At 31.7% G+C, this 12,255-nt stretch overlaps 1 protein-coding gene across 29 annotated transcripts in view; it reads left to right on the top strand.

Annotated features, from left to right (window-relative positions):
- LYPLAL1 (lysophospholipase like 1) overlaps positions 1–12,255 on the top strand; it is a 271,619-nt gene that overhangs the window by 9,072 nt on the left and 250,292 nt on the right. For 21 of the 29 annotated variants that reach the window (XR_007078557.1, XR_007078562.1, XR_001736967.3 and 18 more), the window contains one exon: positions 10,133–10,302. The exons of 1 other annotated variant lie outside the window; for it this stretch is intronic. Coding sequence is in view for 9 of the 28 variants with exons in the window: in XM_017000271.3 (XP_016855760.1) it covers positions 10,133–10,302 (170 nt within the window). In the remaining 19 variants the exon portion in view is untranslated. The remainder of the gene's footprint in view (positions 1–10,132; positions 10,303–12,255) is intronic. 7 more of the 29 variants (XR_001736968.3, XR_007078567.1, XR_007078568.1 and 4 more) reach the window with 1 other exon arrangement.

A 12,255-nucleotide genomic window follows, 5' to 3' on the forward strand; every position in this document is an offset into this window, starting at 1 on the left:
GAAATGAGTGAAAATGAAATGTATAAAAGCAGGTTAAGCTTTATTAACTTTGGTACACTATGCCAAGCATATTTCCAGAGAGGCTGTAACAATTGACAGCCTCACCAGCAGTATTCAAGATTCCCATTTGTCTCACATCCTCCTGAACACTTTCCATTGTCTTTTTAATTTTAGCCAAACCAGTAGATGTGTAATGGTATCCTATTGTGATTTTTATTAATATTTCTTTAATACTAATGATGTTGCACACTGTTTTATGTGCTTATTGAGCATTTAAATATCCTCAAAAGAAATGCCCACTCAGATTATTTGCCCATTCTTTTATTTGGTCATCTTTTTCTATTGATTTGTTGGAGTTCTGTAGTTTTTTGGATACAGTTTATTATTGTTGTTGGATATATGAATACAAATACCTTCTCTTTGTGGTTTGCATTTTCACATTCTTAATGACATCTTGTGGACATAAGTTCTAACATGTTTCTTTAAAATTTACAGTGAAATACAGAAATTGTATGTGCATAGTTAATTTTGATAAATTATAGTACAGAGAATTTTGGTAAAATTATGCACCTATTTACCTCAATTAAGTTGGAGAATATTCTCATCACCCCAGAAAGTTTCCTTGTGCTTCTTTCAAGTCAACTCCCATCTCATGTATTATTGTTTGCATATCTATTACTGTAGCATAGTTTGGCTTGTTCTTGAATTTCAGTTAAATTGAGTCACTTAATGAGTGACTTAATGGAATCTTGTGTCTGGCTTCTTTTATTCAAATTGGTATTTTTGGGATTCATCTATATGTGTGTATCAATAGTTCAATTTTTAAAATTCTAAGTAGGTATTATATAAATATAACACAGTTTGTTTATTTATCTACTGTTGTTGCACGTTTGGATCATTTCCAGTTTTGAGATCTAATGAATAATGCTACCATAAATATTCTTGTTACACGTCTTTTTGTGAGCATAATTTGAATTCTTATCTAGACTCTATTCCATTGGTCTAATCTTATAGTAGTACAAAATTGTTGTAATTATCACAGCTGTATAGAAAATTTTGAAACCAAGTGGTGTAAGTTTTGCTCATTCTATGTTACTTGCATTTACGTGTAAATTTTAGAACCTGCTCTTCAATTTTACAAAACACCTGTTTGGATTTTGATTGAAATTGCATGGAATCTAGTTTGATTTAGAGAAAATAGATGCCTTCTAATACATACACATGGTATGTCTCACCATTTACTTAGGTCTTTATTAATTTCTCTCAGAAGTGATTCGGAGTTTTTAGTGTAGAAGTCTTTTGCTAAATTTATCTACAAGTATTCTGTTTCTTCATGTTATTGTAAATGGAATGTTAAAAAACTTAATTTTCAAATTGTTGCTAGTACAGAGAAATAAATTTTAGTTTTTTATTATGTCCTTGTATCCTTCTATCTTTCTAAATTCACTTATTTCTAGTACTTACTTAGTATATTCCTTATGAATTTCGTGTGTGCATTTTATTTCATTGTCTTGCTTTTTTGGACTTGTTTGAACTTCCAGTACAATGTTAAATAGAAGTGAGTACTTCCTTCCTGTGTAATCTTAGAGGGGAAGTGTTCAGTATTTCACTGTTAAGTGTGATGTTAGTTCTAGGGTTTTTTGTATATATGCCTTTTTTTTATATTGAGGACATTTCTTTGCCTAATTAGCTGAGAGGTTTCTTTGTGAATTTATCAAATGCTTTTCTGTGTCCTTTGAAATAGTCATGGTTTTTATCTTTCATTTTGTTAACACAGTGAATTACATTAATGGATTTCCAAGTCTTAAACCAACCTTACATTCCTGGGATAAACCCTTTTGTAATGTATTATCCTTTTTATATGTATCTAAATTTGTTTTGCTAATACTTTGGTAAAGAATTTTATGTCTGTGTTCATGAGGAATATTGTTCTGTGATTTTCTTTAATGCCTTTGAAAAACGTTATCATCGGGGTTATGCTAGTCACTTAAAAGCATTGGGAAGGATTCCCTTCTCTGTGTCTGAGTTTATGTTATTTCTTCCTTAAATATTTGATAAAATTCACTATTGAAATTACCTGGACCTGAGATTTCCTTTTATGAAGGTTTTGATAATGAATTCAATTTCTTTCATAGAACCAGGATATTCAGATTTTATATTTATTTTTAGGCCAGTTTTGATAATTTGTATTTCTCATGAAATTTGTATCTTTTTTCTGATTTGTCAAATTTATTGACAAAAAGATGTTCATGATATTTCCTTTTAATGCTTTTATGATTTGTTGTTGATAACTTTTATTTCATTGCTGGTAATAATTTGTATATTTTCTCTTTTTTTTCGTGGTTCATCTTACCAAGAAGTTACCAATTGTATTAATCTTTTATAGAACCAGCTTTGGCTTTCTTATTTTCTCTCTTATTTGCTTTCTATTTCATTTATATTTATTCTTATGTTTCTTATTTTCTTCTATTTACATTAAATCTATACATTTCTCACTAATCATTACTGTAGCTAAGTTCCACTAATTTTTTTCTTTCTTTTTATTTATGTTGAAATGTTTTCAAATCTAAATGGTCCCATTGCTGTACTTGTATAACAGACCACCCCAAATAATAATAGTTTTGTTATGTTCACAAATTTTGTGGGCTAAGAATTCAGAAGGGGGATGGTGGTTATGACTTGATCTGGGGCCTCTCCTATGGGAAAACTTGAAGATTGGTAATGACTCGTCGTGTGATTGCCAGGAACTGGAATCATCTGAAGGCTCACTCACATATATGGCATAATGCTGGATATTAACTGGGACCTGCCTTTGGTCTTATTACCGTAACACCTATGTGAGACCTCACCATGTAGTATCTTGGCAGCATGGAGGCTGGATTCCAAGAGCAAAAGTGTCTAAAGAGAACCAGACCTAAAGACTTAGTGTTAACAGTAACATAGTACTCTTCCCTCATTAGTTAAAAGACTGCTTAGAATCAAGCAGAGAAAACACAGACTTCTGTTTCTTAATGAGGTGTCAGACAGAGTTACACTGTAAGAAGGGCATGTGGGATGGAAGGTATTTTTCTGGCCAGTTATGGAAAATTTAGTTCTGGGACCTATATAACCCCATGGGACCTAAATAACCCATAAGTTCTGGGTCCTAAATAACCCATGAGTTATTTAGAAACATGTTGTTTCCAGATATTTGGAGCTATTCTAGATATTCTTATTACTGTTGATATCTAGTTTCATTTCATTATTATTAGAGAAAATATCCTGTATGATTTTCTTCTTTTGATATTCATTGGGACCTTTTTATGGCTTTGCATATGGTCTATCTTGGTGACTGTTACTGTGCATTTCTGCGTGTCACGTTCTATAAATGTTAATGGTTCAAGGTATTTGAAAGCATTACACAAATTCTGTATATGCTTAGTGATTATTTTTCTAAGTTGTTCTATTAGTTGCCAAGGGATGGGTATTAAAATCTCTAGCTATGATTGTAGATTGGTCTGTTTCTCCCTTTAGTTCTGTCAGTTTTCTCTTTATGTATTTTTAGGCTATATTATTAGGTGCATATTCATGTAGTAATATTGTCTTTTTTATGGCTACTTTTATCTATAAAATGTTCCTTTTTAATTTGTGGTAATACTCTGAAGTGTACTGTGTTTAATAAAAATATAGTATATCTCAGCTTCCCTATGCTTATTGTTTACATGGCACTTCATTTTTCATCCTTTTACTTTCTTTTGATTAGAGCTGTATGGTATGTCTTTTTCCATTCTTTTGCTTTTAACCTACCTATATCATTGTATTTAAAGTGGATTTCTTATAGACAACACGTAGTTGGGCTTTGTTTTCATCTTTAACCAAACTGATAATTTGTCTTCTAAGTGATTTGTTTAAGCAATTTACATTTAATGTAACAATTAATATGCTTGAATTTAGGTCTACTGCTTTTCATTCCTCTGTTTCCCTTTCACACTTTCTATTGAATTATTCGTTTTTTAATACACCATTTTACTTTATTTTTTTTCTGATTGCCATAGGGATTATGATATACATAGCAAAGCTTTTTTACCTACTTAGAGTTCTTTGTTGTTTTTTTTTTCCTTGTAACTATATAGGTCCCTTTATCCCCATCTTGTGTATGTTATAGTTTTCATATGTATTTTGTCTGCATACATTGAAAACTGTATCAAACAAGGTTATAATTTTTGTTTTCAACAGTCAACCATATTTTAAACAGCTTAAGAGGAGAACAATAGTTTATTGTATATACTCAGTTGTGGTCTATTACAGCATATAAGTGTGTTTTGATTAAATTGTGAATTACCATTTTGATTATAAGGTATCCCTTTTCCTCAACTGTATTTAATAGATGTTTTAAATCAGCTAAGGTAGGGGCATAGTCAGTAAAAGTCAGCAATTAGTTTGCTGTGTTGATTTAGATGGAAAATACTGCTTTTTTTTTTCACTGTGGTAATTTGGACTCTTTAAATGAAGTGCCCAATAAAGATTTTTATTTCTATAACATGCTTTAGCTATATTTACAATTAGAGATTTTCTTAGTTTGTGTTTATTATTAGAATTTCCATTTAAAAATAATTTTTAACAAGCCATTTATGATTTATATGATAATATAGTTTCTTTTGGTGTTTTAAAAAATTCTAAAAGTAATAAGATTTGCATAGTGCCTATACTTTTAGATTCACTGTTTTTCCACACAAAGTCCATGTTTGTATTTTTCAGTAAATATGTATTCTAAAATAAACTAGGCACTTTTTATTTAGGCATAGTAAACCATGAATTCCTCTTTACTCCATCACTTAGAATTCCTATCTGAAGCATGATAGTAGGAGAGCCCTCTCCTGATAACAGTATATCTGTACTACAAGTATGCTAGTAAGGAACCCTACTAAAAACAGCTATTTTGAAGAAATAATGTACTTCTTTGGTAAGTATTAGGTATGTTTAAATAGGTACTAGTATGGAAAAGTTTTCTTAGATATGATTTTTTAAAAAAGAAACAAAAATGGACTGTTTTCTACAAATCACAGTGTAGATTTTATAAGAGTTAAAGTCAAAATATATTTGGAGCAAAAATAAAATAATTTTAGACATTGTTATTTCTGGCTGGCACAAATTATTCCCAAGTGGCACAAATGATTACTGAAATTTATTCAGCAAATATTTAGCATCTATTCTATGTCAGGCTTTGTTCTTAGCACTGGGTATGTATCTGTGGAAAGAATGAAGTCCCTGCTCTCAATGAGCTCATGTAGAGACAGAAAATAAAAGGGAAATTAAATGTAATAATTTCAAATAGTGATAAATGGTATTAAGACTGGGGATAGAGAGTATATGTGTGTGTTGCAGGGTAAAAGGGAGGTATACTTTCAGTTGGAGAGTCAAAGAAGCTCCCCTGAGAAGGTGACACTTGAGCTGAGACCTAAATGAACAGTCGGAGCCCACCATGCAGAAATGTTGCAAAGAGCCCTCTAAGTAGTGGGGATATCAGATGCAAAGCCACTCAACTAATAATAAGCTCGTACTATTTGAAGAAAAGGAAGTGACAAATGTGACTGGAACCTAGTGAAGGGTGGGAGAGAGAAGTGGTATGAAATGAGGATAAAGAGGAAGACTGGTGCCAATTTGTTAACTTAAAGGTTATGAATGAACTTTCGATTTTATGACTTTAAGGCAACACAGATCAAAAACAACTTGGTATCAAGCTGAATGTCAACTTTTTTTTTTTTTTAACCTTGGACATTTTATTCTAGCTTAATATTTTACCAATGTGTAATGGGTTGGTTGATTGATTAACTTAGGAACCACACAGATGTTCTTTGCCAAACATATTTATTTATTGTGGTAATGTCTGAGGAGTTTTATACCAGCTAATAAAGTGATTTATTTGAGGAAGAAGGTGAATGAGTATAACATATGTGATAGTTTTTAGCTGTTTAAAAAACAAACTTTTATATTTTATTTAAATGTTATTCTAACATTTTAGGAGATTTATACATTCTTGTTTATGCTTTCTTAGCAAGAAAGTTCTAAATTATTTTTGTCTCGTTAAATTTTCTCAATTACTCCATTTGAACAGAATTTTAATTTTCTTAGCTACCACATTAGTAACATACTTACATTGGGATTCTACTTCTGCTGAGCATCTATCTCTAATTAAGGCATTGTCAAAGAAAAAAGTTAAGTGAATGCCACTTTTTTCCATTAATGGCTGAGTTCCCAGAATGATTCACATTTTAGCCTATGATATCATCCTTATTTAAGTATTTAGACAGACAAATAAACACAGAAATAGCAGAGTAAAATGAAAAGGGAAGTAGAACAATTCAGAAGGGTAATAGGCTCATTTGAATTTTAAAGTGAGTGTTGTATTTTTGATATTTTGATTTAGAACTTCACTGTGATTTTAGTGACAGTTTGACTACAATTTGAGGTTTCATTTTGTCTGACAATGACTATTTGGAAAGCACCTACTCTCATTTTCAGAGTAATGAAAATGAGTAACTCAAAACTAGTTAAGAAGCTAGTTTTGAGAAGGGATTCTGGGAGGAGGAAGGTTTGAATGCTTTCTGCCTTCTCTCCCCTTCTGATTCTAATTTATCTACCTTTCTAGAGCCACACAGCTTCTGGGGTCAGAAGGCATATGGGGTTGTGAGATAATTTATGCTTATTGGAGTCCTAGTATAGAGGTGGTGCAAGATTTTATCTTTTCTGCAGCAGTTGAAAGCCTGGATAAAGAGCAATGAAGGAAAAGCTCAGTCTGCAAAAATCTGCCCTCCTCATAGGTTTATGTCATAAAATGTAATTCTCAGACAATAATGCAATATTAATTAGAATTCCAAAAGGATTTTTTAAGGATAATTATTTGAAAATAGTTTCAAGTTTACTAAATTTTTTGATAAATTTATTGGATAATCAAGAACAATAGATGCCTGAGAATAGCTAGGACAAGTATGAAAACACAGACTAGAGTAATGATAGGAGAGGGGAACTTACCTTACACAACTTCAAAATATGCTCTAAAACCACTATAATATGATTAACGTTATATACTAACTTAATAATTAACTTAATAGATACTAAATAGAAACTAACTTAATAGATAAAGAGATTAGTGGAACAAAATAGAGCCTTTCTCAACTAAAGCTCTTCAGCTGAATCACAAGACATAGAAAATTATTTGAGTGACTGTTCCCCCGCCCACTGCATGTATGATATAGAACGAGCACCATTCTAGATGTATTAGAGGGAAGTCAGTTCATTATATATAGCATATGTCTTACAGAAATCAGGGTTAGAGAGACTAGATAATGCAGAACTATAAAATATATGGCAAAGATAAAATTTCACTGTTTGCTGAGAAGGGTGTCTTCCTCCTTTCCTCCCTTTCTCTCTCCTTCTTTTAATAGCACAAGCACAATTGACTATCATATGGGATAAAATGAATTTGAATCCTTAGGTTACTCCATGTATGAAATTCCCCCAAAATTCAAGGCTTAGGTGTAAAAATGAAAACAAAAGTCTTAAAAGAAAATCTGGGCTACTATATATAAAAAATGTATGGATTGGCAGGAGCTTCTTAAGCAAATCTAGAGACCCAGAAATTTAAATTTTTTTTTAAAAAGACATTATATCAAATGTAGAGTCTTTTGTCCAGTAAAAAAAAAAAAAAAAAAAACCCTTAAGTACATAATAACGTAATATCAATATTCAAAATAGACTTGGAAGAAAATACCTGAAATATATGCAACAAATATTTGTCAATAATAGACAAAGTACTCTTTTAAACAAGAAAAAAATTGAAATGACAATAGGAAAAAATAATAGCAAATGACATCAGTCAGCAATTCCACTTATGTGGAGTTTTAGAACAGGCAAAAGAAATCAATGTTGATAGTCTCACTCAGTAGTTGCTTGGGAAGGTTACGGGAGTTGCTCGTGAAGGGGCATGATGGAATTTTCCAAGGAAAAGGAATGTTCTGTATCATTGTGGAGATGGTGGTTGCATTGTAAAAAGTAATTGAACTATACACCTAAAATGTGTGTAGTTCAATATAGTTTATATATGTAAATTATACCTCAATAAAGTTGGTTTTAAAACTTCAATTGATACTCTTAAATGGTAACATTTTAATGTATGTCAGCACCTACTGCTATTACTGCTGTGGGCAAAAGGATATTTTCCTACCTTTCCTGTAGAAAGGTAAATTTTTACAACTTTTATGGAAGCAACTTTGAGACATCTATTAAGACAAAAATTGTACCTTTTAATCCAACCTGTTTCTTGACTCTTTTCCATAGGAATAAAAGTTCCAGTAGATAAAAACACGTATGCATATGTTTAATGAAGCATATTTCTTAGTGGCTAAAAGCTGGGTACCAAATTAATTCCCATTATTAGGGGAATGGCTGATTAAATTGCAGAATATGCTTATCATAGGATATAATATAGCCATTAAAAGGGTAAGTTAGAACTGTAACTGATGAAAGGATTTCCATGAGATATTGTTGAAGGAAAAAAGCATGATGCACATAATAGAATCAGATAGACTACTTTATTTTTGAAAAGAAATAGTGTGCCAAGAAATAGCCTGTAAATATGCATATTTTAATTTATAAGAATAACATTGAAGGATATATTTCAGATCATTTACACAGTTTACCGAATGTAAAGGACAAGATGTGTGAGGGAGTTGGAGAGAAGAGGAGGAATGTAGAGATGGGTAAAAAATGAATAAGATTGACATGAAAAACATCTAAACAATGTATATATATATAATCTCATATTTAAAAAATTTTATGTATCTGCATAAACTTAGGGAAAACATTTAAGTTTTTATGTACTGACTTTCAGAGGTATTCATCATATCCATTTAAATTTTAGAAAATGTGTTACAAAGTAATGTTTATATGATTCTATTTGAGTAAATAAAAGATCCCCGTATATGAATTTTTGTTAAATTTTAGTCAGTTCAACTTTCTTGTTTCCAGGTTTTTTTTTTAGTTTCTCTGAGAAACTTTCCAAATATAACCTTGACGTTCAAGCCCCTTAAGTGGATGTCCATTTATTTTGGGGTGGTATGATCAATATTGAAAAATGGTGTAATTTTGTTCCCTTCCAGCACCACCCACTGGTCCTAAAGATTGTATGCATCCCAAGGCCAATGACAATTGAATATTTCTAGCTCCTTGAATATGCTGAGGTTCTACTTGGGTTTTTCACTAGAGAAGAAGTACAAAAGCATGTTCAGGTCTCACCTGTTGTCTTTTAGCCGTCTATTTTTGTTTTTCAATTTAGCTGCACATTTCATGCTTTTACTTTACTAACTTTGGTGGGTGACAGTATACAGCTAAATTTGAGATGGCAAAGTAGAGGAGGTATTGGTGTGGAAAGAATCCTGTGTCTGGGTTCATCAAAGGGAAATATTACTTGTCATTGGTTTAGAGTTCTTTCAAATTACTATAGGCACTTTTGTCACTGGCTATGTTTTCTTTGCCACTCTGTTTCTCATCATTACGTGAGGAGAAAGCAGGGCATGCCAAGGGATAAGGATTATCTTCTGTGCAACTCTTCCGTTTTTCATATTTGGAAAACATTTGTTCTCTGTGTTTATCTAATATAGCCCCCATCCCTCTCTGTGTTTGCCCACAGAAATCTCTAAGGTTTTTTTTTGTTCCCCTTTCATTTACATCTACCAACATAATACTTGAATACAGGACCCCCTTTACTCCATTACAGTTTGGAATATCTTGATGGTGTGTGTGCCTGTGCACGTATGTGTGTGTATTTTTTTTAACCAACATAGTATCCCAGAGCATGAATATACAATGAATGGATTAAGATTCACTGGTACTGTAACTGTTCTCCCTCTTAAAAGATGGAGGGAGTAGGTAAAGAGGATATGAACTGGCATTAGTAGATTTTAATGGATTAGATACAAGTATGGGATAGTTAATACAATATACATGAGAGTAGTTTTAATATGCATTTAACTTATAAAACTTAGAAGAAATTGAAATCATTTATTCAAAACACTATTATTTTGGTAATTAAAGCATCCATTTTCATATTCCCTTTTCCTTTCTTTTTTTTTGGGGGGGGGCGGTTGTTAAACAGATCATATACTCCTATGAAAGGAGGAATCTCCAATGTATGGTTTGACAGATTTAAAATAACCAATGACTGCCCAGAACACCTTGAATCAATTGATGTCATGTGTCAAGTGCTTACTGATTTGATTGATGAAGAAGTAAAAAGTGGCATCAAGAAGAACAGGATATTAATAGGTAAGACCTTTAAATGTTGGTAATTTATCACTGTTCACTTTTGTCTAATTCTATACATCAAATCTTACTTGGAACATTATTTAGAAGCACTTGTATATCATTCGATGCATTCATAGTTTCAGATAAACTTTACATATTGAGGATTTCAAAGATATTAGAATTATAAACAGCAGCGCATGAAACTTTAATTGATTTTCTTTTTGAATAATAACGGATTTTGAGACTCTTGTGGCAGTTAAAATTTTTCTTCTAGTTTAATTTTCAGTTAAGAAATTATTCATTTCAATTTTTAAAACATTTTACTTCAGTTACCTTAACTCTTATGAATATAAGTTTAAACATCTATTGCCATTAAGATATACAGTCAAAATATACCACTACATTTATGAAAATTATAATCTTCAGAGTTAATCTCACAAGAATATTTGTAAATTTTTGTTAGACTGTCTTTAGCAAGCCCTGTTCCTAAGGGAATATAAGTAGCTTTATATAAGCTCTTTATTCTGCTTAATACCTTTTTCTGTTTCTGGACTTAGCATATACATAAATTATTAAAATCTTTTTCTAATACATGCAAAAGTGAGATGGGGCATGTAGAATATGAATGGTACACGACATATTTTGGTGAAAGGGTTTTATTTCCAAATGTAACTATTTAACTTACAATGAGTTGTATTTAATGATGAAATTAAAAAGCAAATTAAGTATCCCCATTATGTTCTAAATAACATTAAAATGCACATTGAAATTCTTTATAGATGGGATTTGGGTAAACTAATAAACTTTCTTTGTGTTTATTGAAGTGCTGAACTGTCTGTTGAGTCATGAGAGACAACATGATATAATGGATAAAATCCATTCTATTCTGTCTTGGCGTTAGTTTCCACTTTGTTGAAAGCAGCGTGGCCTCTAGCATAACAACATCACCTTTCTGGTCCTTAGTTTCCTCATTATGTTTAACTCTATATTTCTGTGTTTCCATGTTTAACGTTGATGTTTAACTCTAATAGAGATAAACATGGAGCATTATGGGAGGACTAGGAAGAGTGTAGGGAAGGGATTCCCAACTTAGTCTAGGGGATTATGAAGTAGTTAGAAGATAGAATTCCAAACATGTGAATCATGTATCATTCAGTCATCATTCAATCTTTAGCAAGTATTTTTTAAGTCCCCACTATGTGCTACGCATTATTATAGATGTTCACGGGGATGTGCAGATAAGTAAAGCAAGATCTATCTGCCTTACATATTTCTTACAACCTGAAAGGGCCAATGAGATTCTTAAAGTGGTAACTATAATGCCAGCCAGGCTGTGATGAGTGCTCTAATGTGGTATAACTAATAGCTTTTCAAAGCCAATGATAGTATATATTTCTTTTTATTTCCCAGAACCTATCACAATGCCTGGCACAGAGCAAATACTCAGGAAATCTATAACAAATAACATTACCCAATCAATAAATTGTCAGTACTGTAGGAATTGAGAGGAAGAAGTAGTCACATGCATTTGGGGCTGTAAGAGAAAGATTTAATAGAAAGATGGCAGTGGCATTTAAGATGCACAAATTATTAAAATTTTAACTATTACAGTGTAGAAGTCTAGGTAGAGGGAATGATTTGTACAGTAAAGTAGAAGTGGACAGAGTAATGCTTTTTGTTTTTGTCTGTCTGGACAGTAGTTGGCTGTAACAAAGTTTGTGTCTAACTAAAAAGTACCTGTTGACTCAGATAGCCACAGTAAGAGACTAGAACGTGATGGCATAATGGTGACAAAAATGAGTTCAAATCTACAGTCCACCACTTCCTAGTTGGCTCACCACTTATTACCTACACTTAATTTTTGCTACCTAATCTGTAAAGTGGAAATAATAATATAATATCTGTTTACTGAGAGATGAACAAACTATTTGGTTTCTTCCAGACTCTCAGTAAATACTCTGTTCAGTTTTTAAT

The sequence above is a fragment of the Homo sapiens genome, chromosome 1 (assembly GCF_000001405.40).
Source record: "Homo sapiens chromosome 1, GRCh38.p14 Primary Assembly".
NCBI classification, from domain to species: domain Eukaryota; kingdom Metazoa; phylum Chordata; class Mammalia; order Primates; family Hominidae; genus Homo; species Homo sapiens.